Source organism: Homo sapiens, chromosome 3, assembly GCF_000001405.40.
Source record: "Homo sapiens chromosome 3, GRCh38.p14 Primary Assembly".
Classification (NCBI taxonomy): Eukaryota; Metazoa; Chordata; class Mammalia; order Primates; family Hominidae; genus Homo; species Homo sapiens.
The window spans coordinates 180,534,273-180,559,263 of NC_000003.12; the positions used below are offsets into that span (position 1 = coordinate 180,534,273).

Here is a 24,991-nt window from a genome sequence, read left to right on the forward strand (position 1 = left end):
TGAATTCCCAACTTTTATTTAAAAAGCAGATGAGGCCAGGCATGGTGGCTTACACCTGTAATCCTAGAACTTTGAGAGGCCAAGGAGGGTGGATTGCTTGAGCTCAGGAGTTTGAGACCAGCCTGGGCAACATGGCAAAACCCCGTCTCTACAAATATACAAAAATTAGCAGGTGTGGTGGCATGTATGCCTTAGTCCCAGCTACTTGGGGGGCTGAGGTGGGAGGATCACTTGAGCCCAGGAAGCAGAGGTTGCAGTGAGCCAATATCGCACCACTGCATTCCAGCCTGAGTGAGACCCTGTCTCAAAAAAAAATAAAAAACTTTTAAAATTTAAAAATAAAAGGCAGATGATCTGTCTATACTGAGCCCTCATTTTCACATATAAATAATCAGTTTGAACTGTTTGTCAGTGACCTTCCCCCTATGCTATTTACCACATTTCCCATGATCTCCTTTTATGTTATATTTTATATACTTGGCCTTTCTAACAGTTGACTCTGTGACCATTGACCAAACTTCTAACAAAAATTGTGCCACCAACAAGCTGATTGACCTCAAACAAGTTAATACATCTCTTTTGGACTCAATGTCTTCATATGACATTGGAGGAAGGGGTCTTAGGGTAGTTGATATCCTCACCTCTGAATTCTTCAGACTCTACTACTTATTCTAAAATTTAGAATACTCTCTTGTTAGAAGTAGACTGCCTGCTGTAACTTCTACTATCAGTGAAATCTTCTTATGACTATCATTAAATTTAAAAATAGTTTTATTAGCTTTTAGTCACAAGAAAAGAATTCGCAAATTTAGGAGCACTAAAAAGAAATATACTTCAATCTTAAAGCCCTCAGAACGGCTTATCTGATGTCAGACTTGATTTGGAAAATTTTGACTGAACAGCTTCTGTTTATAACTTGGGGGCTGTTGATCTCAACTAGATTATAGCTGATGTTGCCTATTTAAAGCCCAAATAAATATTAAAGAAAAGAGAAAGATGGGAGTGTATTCATTTTCTTCAATTAAATCTTCCACGCAACTGATTGAGGAAGTAATTTTCTCAGTAGTCACCCAAACTTTCTTTGCCATAATTACTCTGCATTGTCTAATTTGGATTTGTTTTCAAGTTATTATTTCAAAAAAGTCACTGAGTACTTTTTTTTACTAGTATCTCCTACTATCATGTTCTCAAAGGCATGTTATATATTCACTGGATCATACCAGAACAATTGTGAACACAATCAAATTATTCCGGGATCATAAAGAATACACGGTAAGATTTTTCCAAAAAACAAAATATTTAAAAGGCAAACTGGTAGGTGTATTAATTGTGCCTCTTAAGCTTGTCATTACAGAAGTTCCTTTTTATTTCTCCAAGTCAGAAAAGTTTAAGGTCTTGTCACTCACAGTGTGGTGTGTGAACCAGCTACATCAGCTTTCCCTGGGAGATTGTTAGGCAAGCAGAATCTCAGACTCTACCCCAGACCTGCTGCATTAAAACTCACAGTTTAGAGTGAGAGTAGATGATGGCCAAGAAGAATCCCAGTGATAATTCTCTCCTGCCCGCCATGGTAGGAACACCAAATTGAACAACTATACACACAAGAAAGCACCTTCCTAAGAACAAAATTCACAGTACCTGGTTCTAACATCATATAAGATGAGAAAAGGAAAGATAGTATTGAAATCACAATGGATTACAGACAAATATTAGACCTCAAACTACGAAACTACTAAAAGAAAACATTAGGGAAACTCTCCAGGACATTGGACTGGGCAAAGATTTATTGAGTAATACTCCAAAGCACAGGCAACCCAAGCAAAAATGGACAAATGGGAACATCTCAAGTTAAAGAACTTCTGCACAGCAAAGGAAACAATCAACAAAATGAAGAAACAACCCACAGAATGGGGAAAAAAATTTGCAAACTATCTATCTGACAAGGGATTAATAAAAGGAATATATAAGGAGCTTGAACAACTCAATAGGAAAAAAATCTAATAATCCAATTTAAAAATGGGCAAAAGATTTAGACATTTCTCAAAAAAAGACATACAAATGGCAAACACATATATGGAAAGGTGCTCAACATCACCAATCATCAGAGAAATACAAATCAAATGAGATATTATTATCTCACCCCAGTTAAAATTGACTGTATCCAAAAGACAGGCAGTAACAAATGCTGGTGAGAATGTAAAGAAAAAGGAACCCTCATACACTGTTGGTGGGAATGTAAATTAGTACAGCCACTATGGAGAACAATATGTAAGTTTCTCAGATAACTAAAAATATAACTACTATATGATCCAGCAATCCCACTGCTAGGTATACGCTCAAAAGAAATAAAATCAGTAAATCAAAGAGATATACTTTTATTTTATAATAAGCACTGCCATGTGTTTATTGCACTGCCATGCTTATTCACAATAGCCAAGATTTGGAAGCAACCTAAATGTCCATCGACAGATGAATGGAAAAAGAAAATGTGGTACATATACACAACAGAGTACTATTCAACCATTAAAAAGTAGGAGATTCTGTCATATGCAACATGCATGGCACTGGAGGACATTATGTTAAGTGAAATAAGCCGGGCACAGAAAGATAGACTTCACATGTTCTCATTCATTTGTGGGAGGTAAAAATTAAAACAATTAAATTCATGGAGATAGAGAGTAGAATGATGATTACCAGAGGCTGCTAAGAATAATGCAGGGCAGGGACGGACCCTGGTATGGTTAATAAGTACAAAAATATAGTTAGAAAGAATTAATAAGATCTAGTATTTGATAGCACAACAGGGTGATTACAGTCAACAAAAGTTGTTATACATTTTTAAATAACTACAGGAGTATATAAATGGGATGTCTGTAACACAAAGAAATGATAAATGCTTGAGGTGATGGATACCGTATTTGCCCTAATGTGATTTTTTTTAATTTTTCTTTTTTATTTCAATTGGTTTTGGGGTAACAGGTGGTGTTTGGTTATATGGGTAAGTTCTTTAATGATTATTTCTGAGATTTTGGTGCACCCATCACCTGAGCAGGTGTAGAGTAACTGTACCTGATGTGTAGTCTTTTATCCCTCACCCCCTCCTGCCCTTCTCCTGAGTCCCCAAAGTCCATTGTATCATTCTTTGCATCCTCATAGCTTAGCCCCCACTTATAAGTGAGAATGTAAGATATTTGGTTTTCTATTCCTGAGTTACTTCACTTAGAGTAATGGTCTCCAATTCCATCTAGGTTGTTGCAAATGCCGTTATTTTATTCCTTTTCATGGCTGAGTAGTATTCCATGGGGTGTGTGTGTGTGTGTGTGTGTGTGTGTGTGTGTCTCACATTTTCTTTATCCATTCATTGATTGATGGGCATTTGAGCTGGTTCCATATTTTTGCGATTGCAAATTGTGCTGCTATAAACATGTGTGTGCACATATCTTTTTTGTATAATGACCTCTTTTCTTTTGGGTAGATACCCAGGAGTGGGACTGCTGGATCAAACGGTAGATCTACTTTTGGTTATTTAAGGAATCTTCACAGTGAAAAGGAAACTACTAATGGTGGTACCAGTTTACAGTCCCACCAGCAGTGTAAAAGTGTTCCCTTTTCACCACATCCATGCCAACATCTATTTTTTTTTATTATGGACATTCTTGCAGCAGTGAGGTGGTATCACACTGTGGTTTTGATTTGCATTTCCTTGATAATTAGTGATGTTGAGTATTTTTATATGTTTGTTGGCCATTTGTATGGTTTCTTTTGAGAATTGTCTATTCATGTCCTTAGCCCACTTTTTGATGAGATTATTTTTTCTTGCTGATTTGAGTTCCTTGTAGATTCTCCATATTAACTCTTTGTTGGATGCATAGTTTGTGAAGATTTTCTCCCATTCTGTGGGTTGTCTATTTACTCTGCTAAAGATTTCTTCTGCTGTGCAGAAGCTTTTTAGTTTAATTATGTCCCATTTATTTATCTTGGTTTTTGTTGCATTTGTCTTTGGGTTCTTGGTCATAAAGTCTTTACCTAAGCCAATGTCTAGAAGGGGTTTTCCAATGTTATCTTATAGAATTTTTATGGTTTCAGGTCTTAGATTTAAGTCTTTGATCCATCCTGAGTTGATTTTTGTATAAGGTGAGAGATGAGGATCTAGTTTCATTCTCTACATGTGGCTTGCCAATTATCCCAGCACCATTTGTTAAATAAGGTGTTCTTTCCCCACTTTATGTTTTTGTTTGCTTTATTGAAGGTCAGTTGGCTGTAAGTATGTGGCCTTATTTCTGGGTTATTTATTCTGCTTCATTGGCCTATGTGCCTATTTTTACACCAGTACCATGCTGTTTTGGTGACTCTAGCCTTATAGTATATTTTGAAGTCAGGTAATGTAATGCTTTCAGATTTGTTCTTTTTGCTTAGTCATGCTTTGGCTATGCAGGCTCTTTTTTGATACCATAAAAATTTTAGAATTGTTTTTCTAGTTCTGTGAAGAATGATGGTGGTATTTGGATGGGAACTGCATTAATTTATAGATTGCTTTTGGCAGTATGGTCATTTTCACAATATTGATTCTATCCATCCATGAGCATAGGATTTGTTTGTCATTTGTTCCATTTGTTTGTGTCATCTGATTTCTTTCAGCAGTGTTTTGTAGTTTTCCTTGCAGAGGTCTTTCACCTCCTTGGTTAGGTCTATTCCTAAGTATTTTGATTTTTTGCAGCTATTGTAGAATGGGTTGAATTCTTGATTTGATTCTCAGCTTGGTCACTGTTGGTATATAGCAGGACTACTCATTTGTGTACATTAATTTTGTATTCTGAAACCTTACTGAATTTATTTATCAGTTCTTGCCCTGATGTGATTATTCTGCATTGTATGCTTGTATCAAAATATCTCATGTACCCCATAAATATATTCATGTACTATGTATCCACAAAATTTAAAAATAATTTTTTAAAAACTCTACAGTTTAACCAGACCCCCTGGTGATTTATGTGTAGATCATAATTGGAGAAGCTAAGGTTTGAGTATGTCCCCCAAAACTCATGTGCTGGAAGCTTAATCCTCATTATAACATTGTTGGAAGATAAGGCCTAATGATTAGTGGTGGTTAGACCATGAGGGCTTTACCCTCATGAATGGATGAGTGGTGGGTGAGTTATCACAGGAATGGTTTCCTTACAAAAGGATAATTTTGGCCCCCTTTTCTCTCATGTGCCCTCTATTTGTGCTTCTGTCATGGGATGATACAGCAATAATTCCCTTCCCAGATGATCTTGGACTTCCCAGCCTCCAGAACCCTAAGCTAATACATTTCTGCCTATAAATTATTTAGTGTGTAGTAGTATGTTGTAGCAACACAAAACAGAGAAGCACTGGTTTGGGGCACAACGGAAGAGTAATGTGTAAGCCTGAGCTCTAATCCTGATTCTGCCACTTACTAACCTTACTAAATTTCACCTTAGTTTCTTCATCTTAAAAGTGAGACTAAATAATAACCCCCAGGGATGTTCTGTGATTTTATTTTATTGCATCTGAAGGCCAGAGTAATCCCTCAATAAAATTTGTCAAATCTAGCTACCAAAAAAGTTGGAACCATTTAGTAACCCCCTATTAAAAACCCCTAAAATATTTGTCAAATCTAGCTACAAAAAAAAGTTGGAACCATTTAGTAACCCCTTTAACTTCTACTTTGAAGTTAAAATTCAAATGTATTTTTACGTATCATTTTTTCACCATGAGCTGAATCTGTTCATTTTTATTAAAATGTAGAATTAGTTTCTTTGCTGCTTCTTCTTAAATTCTCAAATGGAGAATTAAAAAGAAATGGTTTCCTAGGTATTTTGTTCTCTTTGAAGCAATTGTGAATGGGAGTTCACTCATAATTTGGCTCTCTGTTTGTCTGTTACTGGTGTATAAGAATGCTTGTGATTTTTGCACATTGATTTTGTATCCTGAGACTTTGCTGAAGTTGCTTATCAGCTTAAGGAGATTTTGGGCTGAGACGATGGGGTTTTCTAGATATACAATCATGTCATCTGCAAACAGGGACAATTTGACTTCCTCTTTTCCTAATTGAATGCCCTTTATTTCCTTCTCCTGCCTGATTGCCCTGGCCAGAACTTCCAACACCATGTTGAATAGGAGTGGTGAGAGAGGGCATCCCTGTCTTGAGCCAGTTTTCAAAGGGAATGCTTCCAGTTTTTGTCCATTCAGTATGATATTGGCTGTGGGTTTGTCATAGATAGCTCTTATTATTTTGAGATACGTCCCATCAATGTCTATGTGAAGGACCTCTTCAAGGAGAACTACAAACCACAGCTCAATGAAATAAAAGAGGATACAAACAAACGGAAGAACATTCCATGCTCATGGGTAGAAGAATCAATATCGTGAAAATGGCCATACTGCCCAAGGTAATTTATAGATTCAATGCCATCCCCATCAAGCTACCAATGACTTTCTTCACAGAATTGGAAAAAACTACTTTAAAGTTCATATGGAACCAAAAGAGAGCCCACATTGCCAAGTCAATTCTAAGCCAAAAGAACAAAGCTGGAGGCATCACGCTACCTGACCTCAAACTATACTACAAGGCTACAGTAACCAAAACAGCATGGTACTGGTACCAAAACAGAGATATAGACCAATGGAACAGAACAGAGCCCTCAGGAATAATGCTGCATATCTACAACTATCTGATCTTCCACAAATCTGACAAAAACAAGCAAGGGGGAAAGGATTCCCTATTTAATAAATGGTGCTGGGAAAACTGGCTAGCCATATGTAGAAAGCTGAAACTGGATCCCTTCCTTACACCTTATACAAAAATTAATTCAAGATGGATTAAAGACTTAAATGTTAGACCTAAAACCATAAAAACCCTAGAAGAAAACCTAGGCAATACCATTCAGGACATAGGCATGGGCAAGGACTTCATGTCTAAAACACCAAAAGCAATGGCAACAAAGGCCAAAATTGACAAATGGGATCTAATTAAACTAAAGAGCTTCTGCACAGCAAAAGAAACTACCATCAGAGTGAACAGGCAACCTACAGAATGGGAGAAAATTTTCGCAACCTACTCATCTGACAAAGGGCTAATATCCAGAATCTACAGTGAACTCAAACAAATTTACAAGAAAAAAACAAACAACCCCATCAAAAAGTGGGCAAAGGATATGAACAGACACTTCTCAAAAGAAGGCATTTATGCAGCCAAAAAACACATGAAAAAGTCCTCATCATCACTGGCCATCAGAGAAATGCAAATCAAAACCACAATGAGATACCATCTCACACCAGTTAGAATGGCGATCATTAAAAAGTCAGGAAACAACAAGTGCTGGAGAGGATGTGGAGGAATAGGAACACTTTTACACTGTTGGTGAGACTGTAAACTAGTTCAACCACTGTGGAAGTCGCTGTGGTGATTCCTCAGGGATCTAGAAATAGAAATACCATTTGACCCAGCCATCCCATTACTGGGTATATACCCAAAGGATTATAAATCATGCTGCTATAAAGACACATGCACACATATGTTTATTGCCACACTATTCACAATAGCAAAGACTTGGAACCAACTCAAATGTCCAACAATGATAGACTGGATAAAGAAAATGTGGCACATATACACCATGGAATACTATGCAGCCATAAAAAATGAAGAGTTCATGTCCTTTGTAGGGTCATGGATGAAGCTGGAAACCATCATTCTCAGCAAACTATCGCAAGGACAAAAAACGAAACACCGCATGTTCTCACTCATAGGTGGGAATTGAACAATGAGAACACATGGACACAGGAAGGGGAACATCACACACCAGGGACTGTTGTGGGGTGGGGGGACGGGGGAGGGATAGCATTAGGAGATATACCTAATGCTAAATGACGAGTTAATGGGTGCAGCACACCAACATGGCACATGTATACATATGTAACAAACCTGCACGTTATGCACATGTGCCCTCAAACTTAAAGTATAATAATAGTAAAATAAAATAATAAAAATAAAAATAAAATAAAAAAATAAAAAGAAATGGTTTCTTCCCCTTCCCTCTATATTCCTTCAATTTATCTTTCCTCTAAACACAAAAGAAGGGGAGAACCCTAAAGAGAAAAAAATCAAATGAGCACTATAGTAATTTTTCAGAACTTCAAAATGAATGTAAGTAAATTAAACTCTTTCAAAGCTGCACATATAGCCCTGAAGAGGCCCTTCTGTTAAATGGTTAAATAAGAAGACAAGAACACAAAGCAAACTTATCCATAGCACGTATCCAATGTCTGTGTAAAACCCTTGATCTGTTCACAGGGAGATGGCAGCAAGATAGCCAAAGAGCAGAAGCTTGCCAAACTAAATAAAGAAAATCAAGACAAAGAGCAGGAATAAATGTAACAAAGATACCATAACGATATCTTGGAGTTATGGTCAGGTGGAATAATCCTTATCTGTTTCTCCTTTTGAAGGGCAGATTAGAACATGATAATTGGAGTTCACATGATACATGATTAAAGTCTCTGTGTAATCATGACTTACAATATCCTGATTATTCCTATCTTATTCTTCCCGAAAAAAATATATATTAGAGGTTTATGGCTAAAATATGGGATGTGGGTGATCAATAGCCACAAGGAGCACCTGATGACCCTTTGATTAACCTGGGACCCCAGGTTTTGAGATATGGACCAAAGCTATAAACTGTGAAATAGTCAATTATGTCTGTAATATGAAAGAAACTGCTCTTCCAATTTTGGTTAATGATAGGTTTTTTTCTATATAAATGATGATCTTATCAACCAAATTAGGGGGATTTTTAAAATTCATTTTATAAAATATAGTTTAACTCAAGTGACTCTCTAGTTACAACCTGCTTGTGGATCTTAAGTATAGCTACTTCAATCCTTTTTGCCAATGCCACTAGATTAATAGTTCTCACCTACCAAATGGCAAGGCTTCCATCCTTTCTGATGTCTCTTAGATACTCCAAAGTGGATGGGGACTATCTCACATAGAATTTCCACAGCTTCCTGTGTCTCTGCTATCCTTATGCTCTGGCGCTTTACATTCCTCTTAGCTAATTCTGCTTAGCATAGAGCCCACATGGTGTCAATGGCCTTTGACATCCTTTGGAGTGTCTATCTTCTCAAATTCTGATGCTTGGGATGACATCCTACCTGCCTCCAAGTTCCTGTCATAAACACCACCTGATACTTTATTCGGGTCACCAATACCTTGGTGTTAACCCAACCTTGACCTCCAGTCCTCACCTCTCTCTGACTGGTAGAGAAATGATGTCCACATTTTCAACCCTTCCATGAGAAGGGAGAAGGAATCTGACAGCAGAAATGTTTGGGCTCATAGTAATAAACTGCTTTTAACTTCGGCACATAACTATCTCTTTTCCAGGGTCATAAGTGACCACAGAAGTCTGAGCTGTGTAAATTTAAAAGCAGCCTCACATTTGTACCCTACATCAATTCTCTCTTCCCATTGTGACAGACTCTTTCATTTGTTGTAGTAATTCTTTTCTCTAAGGAACCCCTTTGTCTCTTATTTTACTCTGGTTTCCTTTGAAGATTCTAATGAAGCCACTTTCTGTCCTTCACAAATGTCAGTAAGAGTCTGACCCTGATGTCAGACAAAGCCAGAGGTGGAGTTAGAAGCATGAGGTAGACTGACAGTAAAGTATTTGATACCTTGATATGTTCAGTCCTGACTTTGCTAGTCTGAAATTTTAAAACTAATTAATAGCATATTTTGAATTATTAGAGACATAACTTCATATTAAAATGGTCCTAGTCAGCATTTTACATGAAAATATTTTCTCAAATATTGAGAGCACTTGTTTCAAGTCTCGGATCAATCTCAATGTTACTTGCTAAAAATGTGAAGGTAGGATATGAGCCCAATAATCAGATTACAAAATTCACACCTACCATTAATTCTACTTGCAAACCAACATATGAAATAAAAATGCGTTCACAGTCTTTAACTTTCAATAATATACATGTTTCAAATAAAAGAATCTTGGTAAATATAAAGGCCAATAACTTCATTTTATTTTATTTTTTAATGATTTCAACTTTTCTTTTAGAAATGGGGGTACATGTGTAGGTTTGTTACCTGGTCATATTGCATGATTCTGAGATTTGGGGTATGATTGATCCCATCACCCAAATACTGAGAACAGTACCTAATAGGTAGTTTTTCAACCCATCTCCCTCGCCCTTCAAGTAGTCCAGAGTGTCTATTGGTACCATCTTTATGTCCCTGAGTGCCCAATGTTTAGCTCTAACTTACGAGTGAGAACATGCAATATTTGGTTTTCTGTTCCTGTGTTAATTTGCTTAGGATAATGGCCTTCAGCTGCATTCATGTTGCTGCAAAGGATGAGATTTCATTCTTTTTTACAGCTACATACTATTCCATGGTACGTATGTGCCATATTTTCTTTATCCACTGGTGATGGGCGCGTAGGTTGATTCCATGTCTTTGCTACTATGAATGGTGCTGCAATGAACATATGCATGCATGTGCCTCTTTGGTAAAATAACTTATTTTCTTTTGGGTATATAACCTGGAAGGGGATTGCTGAGTTGAATGGTGGTTCAGTTTTGAGTTCTTTGAGAAATCTCCAAACTGCTTTCCACAGTGGCTGAACTAATTTACATTCCCACTAACAGCGTGTAAGTGTTCCCTTTCCTCTGCAGCCTCACCAGCATCTGTTGTTTTTTGACTGTTTAATGATAGCCATTCTGACTGGTGTGAGATGGTATCTCATTGCGGTTTTGATTTTCATTTCTCTAGTGATTAGTGATGTTAAACATTTTTTCATATGCTTATTGGCATTGTGTGTCTTCTTTTGAGAAGTGTGTTCATGTCCTTTGCCCATTTTTAATAGGGTTGTTTTTGATTGTTGATTTAAGTTCCTATAGATTCTAAATATTAGGCTTTTATTAGAGGCACAGTTTGCAAATATTTTCTTCCATTCAGTAGGTTGTTTGTTTACTCTGTCGATAGTTCTTTTGCTGTGCAGAAGCTATTTACTTTCATTAGGTTCTACTTGTCAATTTTTGGTTTTGTTGCAATTGCTTTTGGGGGCTTTGCCAAAAATTATTTGCCAAGGCTGATATAGAGAAGGGTATTTCCTAGGTTTTCTTCTAGGATTTTTATAGCTTGAGGTCTTATTTTTAAATATTTAACCCATCTTGCGTTAATTTTTGTATATGGTGAAAGGTAGGCATCTAGTTTCATTTTTCTGCATATGGCTAGCCAGCTATCCCAGCACCACTTATTGAATAGGGAGTCCTTCCCCCATTGCTTATTTGTGTTGGCTTTGTCAAAGATCAGATGGCTGCAGGTGTTCAGCTTTATTTCTGGGTTTTTTATTCTGTTCCATTGGTCTAGGTGTCTTTTTTTGCGCCAGTACCATAATGTTTTGCTTACTGTAGCCTTTTAGCATAATTTGAAGTCAGGTAGTGTAAAGCCTCCAGCTTTGTTAACATCCTGGACCCGATGGAGTCACAGACAAATTCTATCAGATATACAAAGAACTGTTATCAATCCTACTGAAACTATTCCAAAAAAAATTGAGGAGGAGGGGCTCCTCTCTAACTCATTTTATGAAGCCAGCATCAGCCTGATAGCAAAAACTGGCACAGGCATAATGAAATAAGAAAGCTTCAGGCTAATATTCCTGATGAACATAGATGCAAAATTCCCCAACAAAATACTAGCAAACCAAATCCGGGAGCACACCAAAAAGTTAACACACCCTGATCAAGTAGGCTTTATTCCTGGGATGTACAGCTGGTTCAACATATGCAATCAATAAATGTAATTTACCACATAAACAGAATTAAAAGAAAAATCCATATGATTATCTCAATAGATGCAGCAAAAGCATACAATAAAATCCAAAATCCCTTGATAATAAAAACCCTCAACAGACTAGGCATAAAAGGAACATACCTCAAAATAATAGGAGCCATCAATGAAAAACCCACAGCCAGCATCATACTGAACAAGCAAAAGCTGGAACCATTCCCCTTGATAATTGGAACAAGAAAAAGATGCCCTCTCCCACCACTCCTATTCAGTATAGTACTGGAAGTTCTAGCCAGTGCAATCAGGCAAGAGAAAGAAATAAAATGAATCCAAATAGGAAAGGAAGAAGTCAAACTATCTCTTTTCACTGATGATATGATTGATATGATTCTATACCTAGAAATCCCTAAAGACTCCACAAAAGGCTCCTATAACTGATAAATGCCTTTAGCAAAGTTTCAGGATACAAAATCAATGTATAAAAATCAGTAGCATTTCTATATATCAATAACATTCAAGTTGAGAGTCAAATCGAGAACAAAATCCCATTTACAGTAGGCACACAAAAAAACTGAAATACCTAACATATTTAACCAAGGAGGTGAAAGATATCTACAAGAAGAACTACAAAACACTGCTGAAAGACATCAGAGACAACACAAATAAATGGAAAAACATTCCATGCTCATGAATTGGAAGAATCAATATCGTTAAAATGGCCATACTGTCCCCCAAAATTTACAGATTCAACACTATTCCTATCAAACTGCCAAAGTCATTTTCCAGAGAAACAGGAAAAAACTATTCTAAAATTCCTATGGTACTTCATCTTAGAGATAAAGAAATGAAGACACATAGAGTTGAAATGATTTCAAAAGTCCCTAGGCTTGAGTTCAAACTGAAACCTCCTTATTCTCAGTTTGCTTATCTTACCTTTACATCCATTACCATGTAAAAATAGCCTGTGATGTTAAAGTATTTTGCCACAATGACCCATTCATTTAGCCACTAGATATTATTAGAGTATCTTCTATGCATCAGACGATGTGAAAGAAAAGTGATCTACTAGGAGTGAAAATATTAGTTCAAGCTTCAGGTCTTCCAAACCTGATGTGTGTATAAATTATACCAATGAGTGGTATAACCTAATTAATTGTAGGATGAGGCACATGCTACAATGAGGGGTTACAGTGAAGTCATTCATAAGATCTCTTTCAGTTCTCACCTTCTGTAATTCAACTAAACAGCTATACATGTGTTTAAAGAAGAAAAAAACTCATGAATGAAGATTTACAGCTTCACCTGAGACCAAAGAAAGATGTTCACCTGGCAGATTTAAGTCACTGGATAACATCTGATAATTTTTTTTTTGTAAATGAAGAGACTATGATAGATTACTACCTGTCACTTTGTTCAAACAAATCAAGCATCTAGTAACTTTAAAAGAAACAGGTATATTGCATGCCTTATGTATTCAATAGTATATTTTTAGAATCTAGAAAGATAAAATGATTTTTACCAATGCTTCTCTTTTAAAAAAGAGCTGTTTGATAGACCTAAACATTTAGAATTACACTCCCAAATTCATTTTATGTATACTCTCCAACAGAAATCATAAATTAAATTTGGCACTCCATTGAATTGGATCAGATCCAATAGATAATCTCCAAGGTCAACCTAGGTTTTAGATTTCATATAAGTAAGGTTGAAGGGGAAGAATAAATTTTCACAAATCATTTAATATTTTAAGAAATGGCAGAGGGTTAGATTTTAAGAAAGAAGCCTAAATATGTTTAAAATCAGTTACTATAGATAAATAGTATGGCTGGCCATTTTTTTCTGATAAGAGACTATGTTTAATTCTGGTTTTCTCTTATAAATTTATTATTGTGGATCTCTATTAACCAAACTTTTCCTTGTTACAAATAAGAAAATCTCATTTTAGAGAGATGAGTATTTTTCAGGTATTCACACAGTAGGGCCAGAGCTCAGATTCTGTATTCAATTCTATTCCACTTCACTGCTATCTCCTTTTTGGTCCCTTGGCTCCCTCTCAGTTTGGGGGATGGTTTTTAAAATATGATTCCAGGTTTTTCTCATTAAAATTGGCATTGTGAACAGGATCTGAGAGACCAAATGGTGAGTCAGGGAGGAGTATCTATGGAGGAAATCTCAGAGTTGGCAACGTGCATGTGAGGTGGACTAGCCCAATTGTTCAAACTTTGTGGGCCACCACATAAGTATGGGGACACTTGGAAAACACTGGTAGAGACTGAGCACCTATTGCAAGAAGCTAAGATATTAAAGTACAATAAAGATAGTAAATGCACTGTTGTTGCAATAAGGCTAGCTACTAAGAAATCATTAGAGCAGGAAAGGGAGAAAGAGTAAAAACTCCTGCAGAGGGTCAAAGGCATATCAGGTTTTCTAGGACTCCAGCTTGTTACATATCATGGTCCCTTCTTGTGCACATTTGAAAACTGACAGGCAAATTACAAAAAAAAAAAAAAAAAAAATCAGAGCTCAAATGGTTAACCCACAACTATAAAGTTAAGCAGAATCTTCTAACACTTTCTATTTCTCTCTCTCTTTTTCTGCCTGCTTTGAATCTGCTATTTTTAAGTTGCTAGTGTTGAAATAAAACTCACTGTTTATGGTAACACTAATTCAAGGTTATTTGGGGATTTTGTTTTTCTTGTACAGTTCAGCCAGTTCTAGCTAAAATGTAAACAATGAAATTCATTTGAAACTGAAGAAAAAAAAAGGACAAAACAGGTTTTTAAAAATCAAACTGCCATGGAAACTGCTTTACCCAAAATTTTGATCCACAACTTTCCTTGGATTATCTATCAGGGCAAATAAAGTTTAGCCATGTGAACAGGTCCCAATTTTATAAAAAATAATTTGAATCCAGCTGTCTTTTGTAATATAATGAGTTTATGATGCTGTCTCATGGCTAGAATTCCAAGGTGAAAGCCATTGGATCTTTGTATGTGTGCATACATGTTTAAATGTGTTTATGTGTATGTACATGTATTATGTTATGTGTTATATCTAGCATTCTACCACATTAACTTATAAATAAATGAGTACTCATAAATAAGTTCAAATGCTTTCCAAGTTTATATAAATTCAATAATCTTTGGTAAATAAACTGGCTTTAAAATTACTGGTAAAATAAAAGTGTATCTTCAAAAGTGTCAGCATACATTTTTGTCTGAGTTTGCTAATAGATACATTTTATATTTGCTTCTGCTAGATACTTTATGGTGTCAGAGTTTGACATGAAGGTTATAAGACTGTAAACCCAGCCAAAAACAAAATGATCTTTGTTTGTGTGATTTTTTTAATAAGCAAGATTAATTTGATATGGTTGGTTTAATGGAAACAGCTGAATTTTTCTGAGTTATCAGCAAAAATGCCCATGTTTAACTTGAAGGTTCTTGCTTAGCTGAATACCTGATATTCACAAGCTATGAAAATAGTTAACAGAAAAATAGTTTGCAATGATATGTAGCTTTACAGAATGTCTTGGTTCTCACTAGTAACCCAGATAAACTGCTAAAAGTGAATAGATTGAGTAAATGTAAATGAGATCAATGCTTGTGGGTAAAACTTTCATGTAGTTTAAACTCTTAAAGTTATTTTAGGCACTCACTGAATGTCTTGATCACTTCCAGTTTAAAAAAGGTTGTAATATGGGGGAAGCATTGGTGGACTTCAGTGAGCTGGATAAAAACAAAGACCATGTCCAAAAAGTAATTAAGGAACAAAAAAGGGATGATGGGCCAAATGGGTGTCTGTACACTTGCCCCGGCCCAAACAGGCAATATATATGAAACAATACTGTCTGCCAGGGGGACACTCTGAAATCACCCAAACAGTTCAGGAATTACATAAAGTACAAATAGTCAGTATGGCCCACAACCCCTGTAGCAGCCCTATGTGTCCTGTGAAGACACCAGATAGCACCTGGAGAATGACTGTAGACTACCGTGAGCTGAACAAAGTGGTGTCCCCGCACGTGCAGCTGTACCCAATAGTGCTCAACTGCTACAGCAAGTGGTTTGTACACTGGGAAATGTCCATGCTGTGACTGACCTGTCTAACACCTTTCCTAGTATTCCTTTAGTGGAAGATTCACAAGACCAGTTTGCCTTCACTTAGTAGGGCCAATGATAGACTTTTTAGGTGCTACCACAAGGGTACCTGCACAGCCACATCATATGTCACAGTATGGTTGCAAAGGACCTGTCTAGACTCTTTCTGCCTGCCTTGGTCTTCCTGTTTTACCATATTAATGATGACATGCAAACCTCAGAGCCTTTTACAGATTTGAAGACTGCCCTACAAACTATCTTGGATGGCTCAAAGGACAGGGAATGAGAAGTCAACCCCAAGAAGAAACAGGGGCCCAGTATAGCCATCAAATTCCTGAGAGTCACCTGGTTGGAGAAGATGTAAAACATACCTAAAACTGTCATCAATAAGGTATCACAGTAGCCTGTTCCCCAGATAGTAAGCTAACTCCAGGTTGTCCTAGGTTTACTGAGCTATTTATTCGTTTGGTACAAACCCTTCACCTTTCCTTCAATAAAGGAAAATTAAAAATGAGACTGTACACATATAGAGCAAGAGGCATTTGACAAATCAAAAATACTGTAAAACAAGCCAAAGCATTAGGTGCCCCACTGCCACAGCATCCTTTTGTATTAGAAGCCACTAGAGATGCCACAGGGATGAGCTGGAGTTTGTGGCAAAAGCAACCAACAGGAATTGTTACCTGTTGGGCTTTTATCTCAATTGTAGAGGGGGTCAGAATCCTACTATACAGTCCTGGGGCAATAACTCTCAGCCCTGTATAGGACATTGCAACAAGTGGAGGCTATCACCAGAAAGCAGACCACCACAGAAAAAAACTGCCTACTCATAAAAGGGTGAATGAAAGGTCTCCTAGCCAAGCCCACCCCTAGAGTGGCACAATCACACGGCATAAGTGGCATCCCTGTCTACAACTTAGGGGTGGCTTGTCCACTAGTCCTTTAAGTCAGGCACTATAGGAGGCATTAAGATCCATCCACTTTGAACAAGTGGAGGTAGCAGACATGGCAATGGAGCCACCTATCAGGTCAACCACATATATGAGGAGTCCCAGGTGATACTCACTAGGCTTGATACACTGATGGGTCTAGCAAAGTTACCTAACACCAACGGTCAGCAGTTTGTGGTGCAAAGGGATACTGACACCATACGGAGAGAACGGGGATTAGGACAAAGCAGTCAATGGGCTAGGTTACAGGCAGTTTGGATACCCATCACCTATGAGGCTTGGCTGCTAATCATCTATCTACACAGATAGTTGGGCTACACAAACAGGACTTACCATGTGAATCAATCAATGGGCCACAGACAGTTGGCAGGTTTGGGGCAAGCCCCTTTGGGGAATGTCCATGTGGCAGAACATTCACATCAAGTTATAAGAGAAGGATGCCCAACTCAGGTGTACCATGTGGATACACACAGCCCCAGGTTGCTTCTGAGAACTCAGGAGGCAGATGCCCTTACTCATGTTTGGGCACTTTGCCAGAGCCCATTGGAGGAGGCTGCCATATGGGTACATCACAGGAGCAGTCACCAAGGGGCAGCGACAGGTGGGCCATACGAAAGGCGGCAGGCATCCCAATCCAATCTGGAGATGCTTTGGCAGCTGTTCAGAACCGTGAGATCTGCTCATAACTGCGACCTGGAAAAGTTCCCTCCACACCAACTCACATACATCGAGCCATACAACTGTGCAAGACTGGCAAGTCAGTTATATTGGCCTCCTGTCCCCAGGTAGAGGGAGAAGGAGAAGGTATGCCTTAACTTGTACAGACACAACAATGGGGCTACTACAGGGGCCTTCCCAGTAAGACATGCCACTCAACTGGAGACCAAGAGTCTCACTGCTCTTGGTGTCATGTATGACATGCCAAAAAGGATAGTGATCAAGGCCCCCATTTCACAGGTCACGATATCCAACATGGGGCATTGGAACAAAATATAGACTAAAGATTCCACTGGCCATATAACCCAACAGGGTAGGCCTCATAGAAAAAAAAAATGGCCTGTTAAAAACTCAATTATGTGCATTGTCTCAGGACAGTTCTTAAGGGTACTAGACTAAGGATCTCCCTGAAGCTATACAAATTTTAAATAAGTCACCCACTACCACACATGGCATCACTCCCTGTGAATGGTTGGGCAGGCCTGTAAAACAGGTGTCACAAATTCTCAGGATTACCTGAGACTCCAAGCCATGCTCCTGAAACAGATGGGCAGACTGTGCTCCTGAGAACAGCAGTGGATCTGCCAAGTGGCAATGGCTACGTGGACCTGAAGTTGAGCTGGAAATTGCTCCCATACTGGGTCAGTTTTATGGCACTGGGGGGCACTATGAAGACTGATGGAGGAGAGGCGATCCAAGCTATGCTCCTTTATAGAGGTCTGAGAGCTTTACAATATCAACACACGGCAGCACCAATACCTACAGGAGTAGGCATAGTGCTGATAGTGTGGGCAAGGCTGGAAACTTACCAGTTGGCTACTGTGCCCACTCTTAGGGAAGGAAACCATGTATGGTACTATAAGCTAGACATGAAGTACATGGTGGCCTCCCTAATGGGGCCAATGGGAGATAATATAGCAGTAATAATGTTACAAGGAGTGGATACACCCATGAGGGTTCCTGCTAAACACCTGTGTTTATGCCAGTAGGCTGTTGTTCCTGCTACCCATGGAAGCTGCACTGGAATGTAACTACAGTAGCAGTCAGCAACCAGTCCAATTATTGGGTATATGGATACCTCCCCCTATCAAATTATAACAGTATGCCTCACAACAGTCTGCCTTTCTCCCTACAGAACTGGAGTGCCAGGTACATCAGCACCAATAGTGCAACCCAGGTTCACCGGGGATTGTCTCCACCTGGAAGCCTAATGGCCAATTTGATGGAGAACCAACAACATGTGCTCTTATACACAATACCTGTTGTTGTACCTATACCCCTGATAAAAAGGATAATGTCACAGATGCGTTGAATAATTTGTCAACTTAGTTCCATGATACAGCCCAATTAGGTTTCTTTGACTCATGCTCAAAATGGTTACACACCTTACCTACTCATTGGAGTTATGCTTGCTAATAGACGTTATAATTATGGTTAGCTTCTGTTTTTTATGTTGTTATGTATACTGTGGATGTGACTTGTACACACAAGCCATGTCTATATGTTACACATTTGTAGAGTTCTTCCCCTCATACCCCACTCAGGGACTCTTACACAAGATTTATGGAAAGAATGTAAGGGCTGATGGATTGCAGTGTGACAGGTCCCTCACCATGTTACTTAAGGGTGTATGTCTGCTGCCTGAACCCTGGAGGCCAGGCTGCGAGCCAAGGCCATGATGCCTAGCCAAGGAGCAGGTGTCCCTAAGAACCCAAATATCTCGGAGAGAGTATATGAGAAGCTAACAAGGAAAACAGTCCCATCACACACAAACACACACACACACACACACACACACACACACACACACGGCAAAGAGCCAGAAAATTAGCTTAAAAGCAGCTTAGAGATGGGAGGCAGGACAGATCTCTAAAGATGCCCTGCTGCCATCCAGGAGTGCCTCATATGCAAGTCCTAATAAACTTACGTACTCGCCATGTTGGACTTGCCTGAGTCATTTTTTGGTCTCTTAGTTCCCTTCCAGTTTGGGGGATGGTTTTTTAAATACGAGTCTTGGTTTTTCTCATTACAGTTACTATCACCACAATGGTAAAATACTTTGATATCTGTACTTATCAATAATTAAAAATTGACTCAAGATGTACATTAACATTCTTATTCTTTTTTAAAGCATATTTGAAGTTGCTTTTTATTTAATGTCTTAATTCCTCTTTTGCTAAACAACAGAGTGCAGAAAATAATCATGGTTGAAAACACAACTGTCCAAAGGACAAAAGCAGAATAAAAACAATAATAATTATTCAAGAAATAAAATGAGATATTTCTTGTGTATCAAACTGGCAAAGTTTTTGAAATGATAATGTCTAGTGTTGGCAAGAGCAGGTGTGGTAAAATAGTCATGCTCATTTATTACTCATGGAACAGACTTTTTAGAAAGTAATTTGACCTTAACAGTGCTCATATCATTTGACATAGTAATATCACTTCTAGAAACGTTAAAATTCAAAATAAAAAGTTTCTTGAAGAATTTCAGCATTATTTATAATATTAGGAAATTGGAAATAACCTAACTGTCCAAGAACAGAGTAAGAGCTAAATCAAATATGATACACATGTGATATGGTACCAGTAAAAAATCATTAATTTGAAGACTATTTAGCCACATAAATAAATGCTTCCCATGTAATGTGTAGAGAATGAGGCAAAAATATCACAATTTTATAAAACAGTGAACATTAAAAAGCAAGAAGGAAAGATACAAGGTTAACAGTGATATCTCTCTGTGAAGAGTTTACACTTAAGTTTGTAGATATGAGTTGGTAGACACATTACTTTTATCTATTTAGTAATGTGCAGATAATATACAATATGCAAATAATACACCAAAGAACAGAGTCTTGATCAACTAATTATCTTTGTTCAGGGAATATCCCTTGAACTAAATCTGGAAGAATGAGTAGGTTTCTAGATGGAGAACTAGTAGCGGCATTCTTGAAGGAAAAAATTACATATGCAAAGCCACTGAGTTGTTTGTATTTCCAGTATCTAGTTCAAGAGCAAAATGCTCAATTAATGTTTGTTGACTAATAATAAATAAGTTATAAAGAAACATGATTTCTTTCTCTCTGAATGTCCTCTGTCTTCTGTATTTCAGTCACTAAAGGTTAACTATTACAATACAATGCTATAGTTCTGTCTTCATTTGGGCTGCTATAACAAAATGTCTTAGACTAATTTATAAATAATAGAAATTTATTTCTCATAGTTGTGGAAGCTGGAAAGTCCAAGATCAAGACACCAGCAGATTCAGTGTCTGGTGAAGGCTCACTCTCTGCTTTATTGATGGTACCTCTTGCTGCATTCCCACATGATGAAAGGCCAGGAGCACATCCTTCAACCTTTTTTATAAAGGCACTGCTATGGCTTGAATGTGTCCTCCAAAGTTCACATGTTTCAAACTGGAACCCCAGTGCAACAGTGTTAGGAGGTGGGGCTTAATGAGAGGTGATTCAGCTATGAGGGCTCTGTTCTCATGAATGAATTAATGCTGTTATCATGTTAGTTATCATGGAAGTGGGCTCATTTTAAAAGGGGGAATTCAGCTACCTTTTCTGTTTCTTGCTCATGTGATACCTTATGATGCAGCAAGAAGTCCCTAAACAAGATGCTAGCCCCTCGATCTTGGACTTCCCAGCCTCAAGAACCATGATACATAAATCTGTACTCTTTATAAATTATCCAATACTCTTTATAAATTACCCAGTACTCTTTATAAATTACTCTTTATAAATTACCCAGTACTCTTTATAAATTACCCAGTCTTGGGTATTCTGTTATAATGGCAATCCCATTCATGAAGGCAGAACCATCATGATTTAATCATTTTTCAAATGGCCCCACCTTTTAATACTATCACATGACTATTAGGTTCCAACATATGAATTGTGGAGGAACACCAACATTCAGAACATACAAGTTAAAAAATTCCAAGTTAATTAATTTTATATCAGTTACATTTTAGAATTTTGCTTCCTAAAATCATCTTTAAATTCTTTAATCTCATCAGTAGTTGATCTCCAAAAAGTTTGTGTAGGATGAGTGAATTCTGAACAACCTCACAGAGAACCAATCAACACCTCTTAAAAGTATTAACTCGAGCCTGAGGCTAGCAAGATGGCCAAATAAGAATAGCTCTGGTCTGCAGCTCCCAGTGAGATTGACGCAAAAGGCGGGTGATTTCTGCATTTCTAACTGAGGTACCCATTCATCTCACTGGGACTGGTTGGACAGTGAGTGCAGCCCACGGAGGGTAACCTGAAGCAGGGTAGGGCATTGTCTCACCCAGGAAGTACAAGGGGTCAGGGGATTTCCCTCCCCCAGCCAAGAGAAGCCGTGAGAGACTGTACCGGGAGGAACGGTGCACTCTGGCCCAGATATTGCACTTTTCCCATGGTCTTTGCAACCCACAGACCAGGAGATTCCCTCTGGTGCCTATGCGACCAGGGCTCTAGGTTTCAACCACAAAACTGGGTGGCCATTAAGGCAGACACTGAGCTAGCTGCAGGAGTTTTTTTCATATTCCAGTGGCACCTGCAATGCCAGTGAGAGAAAACCATTCACTCCCTTGGAAAGGGGGCTGAAGCCAAAGAGCCAAGTGGTCTGGCTCAGCAGGTCCCACCCCCATGGAGCCCAGAAAGCAAAGATCCACTGGCGTGAAATTCTTGTTGCTAGCACAGCAGTCTGAGGTCGACCTAGGATGCCTGAGTTTGGTGGGGGTAGGGGCATCCGCCATTGCTGAGGCTTGAGTAGATGGTTTTACCCTCACAGTGTAAACAAAGCCGCTGGGAAGTTGAAACTGGGTAGAGCCCACCGCAGCTCAGCAAGGCCGCTGTGGCCAGACTGCCTCTCTAAATTCCTCCCCTCTGGGCAAGGCATCTCTGAAAAAACGGCAGCAGCCCCAGTCAGAGACTTATAGATAAAACCCCAATCTCCCTGGGACAGAGCACCTGGGGGAAGGGGTGGCCGTGGGTGCAGCTTTAGCAGACTTAAGCATCCCTGCATGAAGCTCTGAATAGAGCAGCAGATCTCCCAGCACAGCATTCAAACTCTGATAAGGGACAGACTGCCTCCTCAAGTAGGTCCCTGACCCCCATGTATCCTGACTGGGAAACACCTCCCAGTAGAGGCTGACAGACACCTCATAGAGAAGAGCTGAGGAGAGCTCTGGCTGGCATCTGGCAGGTGCCCCTCTGCAACGAACTTTCCAGAGGAAGGAACAGGCAGCAATCTTTGCTGTTCTGCAGCCTCAGCTGCTGATACTCAGGCAAACAGGGTCTGAAGTGGACCTCCAGCAAACTACAACAGACCTGCAGCAGAGGGGCCTGACTGTTAGAAGGAAAACTAACAAACAGAAAGGAATACCATCAATATCAACAGAAAGGATGTCCACTCAGAGACCCCATCCGAAGGTCACCAACATCAAAGACCAAAGGTAAACAAATCCACAAAGATGGGGAGAAACCAGCGCAAAAAGGTCAAAATTCCAAAAACCAGAATGCCTCTTCTCCTCTGAAGGATCACAACTCCTCATCAGCAAGGGAACAAAACTGGAGGGAGAATGAGTTTGACGAATTGACAGAAGTAGGCTTCAGAAGGTGGGTAAAAACAAACTTCTCTGAGCTAAAGGAGCATGTTCTAACCCAATGCAAGAAAGACAAGAACCTTGAAAAAAAAAGGTAAGATGAATTGCTAACTAGAATAACCAGTTTAGAGAAGAACATAAATGTAGATGGAGCTGAACAACACAGCACAAGAACTTCGTGAAGCATACACAAGTATGATACACAAGTATCAATAGCTGAATCAATCAAGTGGAAGAAAGGATATCAGAGATTGAAGATCAACTCAATGAAATAAAGTGAGAAGACAAGATTAGAGAAAAAAGTAGTGAAAAGAAACCAACAAAGCCTCCAAGAAATATAGGACTATGTGAAAAGACCAAATCTATGTTTGATTGGTGTACCTGAAAGTGATGGGGAGAACAGAACCAAGTTGGAAAACACTCTTCAGGATATTATCCAGAAGAACTTCCCCAATCTAGCAAGGTAGGCCAACATTCAAATTCAGGAAATACAGACAACACCACAAAGATACTCCTCGAGAAGAGCAACCCTGAGACACATAATCATCAGATTCACCAAGGTTGAAATGAAGGAAAACGTGTTAAGGGCAGCCAGGGAAAAAGGTTGGGCTACCCACAAAGGGAAGCCCATCAGACTAATAGCAGATCTCTCAGCAGAAACCCTACAAGCCAGAACAGAATGGGGGCCAATATTCAACATTCTTAAAAAAAAAAATTTCAACCCAGAATTTCATATCCAGCCAAACTAAGCTTCATAAGCAAAGGAGAAATAAAATCCTTTACAGACAAGCAAATGCTGAGAGATTTTGTCACCACCAGGCCTGCCTTACAAGAGCTCCTGAAGGAAGCACTAAACATGGAAAGGAAAACTGGTACCAGCCACTGCAAAAACATACCAAATTGCAAAGACCACCAATGCCATGAAGAATCTGCATCAACTTACTGGCAAAATAACCAGCTAGCATCATAATGACAGAATCAAATTCATATATAACAATATTAACCATAGGCTGGGTGCGGTGGCTCACGCTTGTAATCCCAGCACTTTGGGAGGCCAAGGTGGGCGGATCACGAGGTCAGGAGATCGAGACCAGCCTTGCTAACATGGTGAAACCCCATCTCGACTAAAAATACAATAAATTAGCCGGGCACAGTGGCGGGCACCTGTAGTCCCAGCTACTCGGGAGGCTGAGGCAGGAGAATGGCGTGAACCCGGGAGGCAGAGTATGCAGTGAGCCGAGATCATGCCACTGCACTCCAGCCTGGGCAACAGAGTGAGACTCCTTCTCAAAAATAAATAAATAAATAAATATATATATATATACCTTAAATGTAAATGAACTAAATGGCCCAATTAAAAGACACAGACTGGCAAATTGGCTAGAGTCAAGACCCACTGATGTGCTGTATTCAGGAGACCCATCTCACATGCAAAGACATACATAGGCTCAAAATAAAGGGATGGAGGAAGAATTACCAAGCAAACGGAAAGCAAAAAAAAAGCAGGAATTACAATCCTAGTCTCTGATAAAACGCAGTTTAAACCAACAAAGATCGCAAGAGACAAAGGCCATTACATAATGGTAAAGGGGTCAATGCAACAAGAAGAGCTAACTATCCTAAATATATATGCACTCAATACAGGAGCACCCAGATTTATAAAGCAAGTTCTTAGAGATTTCTTAGAGACCTACAAAGAGACTCAGACTCCCACACAATAATAGCGGGAGACTTTAACACCCTACTGTCAATATTAGACAGATCAATGGGACAGAAAATTAACAAGGATATT

At 38.7% G+C, this 24,991-nt stretch overlaps 1 long non-coding RNA gene and 1 other non-coding gene across 3 annotated transcripts in view; one reads left to right on the plus strand and one right to left on the minus strand.

Moving 5' to 3' along the window:
* Positions 1 to 24,991, minus strand: part of TTC14-DT (TTC14 divergent transcript) — a 121,249-nt gene that overhangs the window by 53,408 nt on the left and 42,850 nt on the right. The window lies entirely within an intron of this gene.
* Positions 8,429 to 8,564, plus strand: LOC124900551 (U8 small nucleolar RNA). Its single transcript, XR_007096299.1, has one exon. It is a non-coding gene; the product is annotated as a U8 small nucleolar RNA (small nucleolar RNA).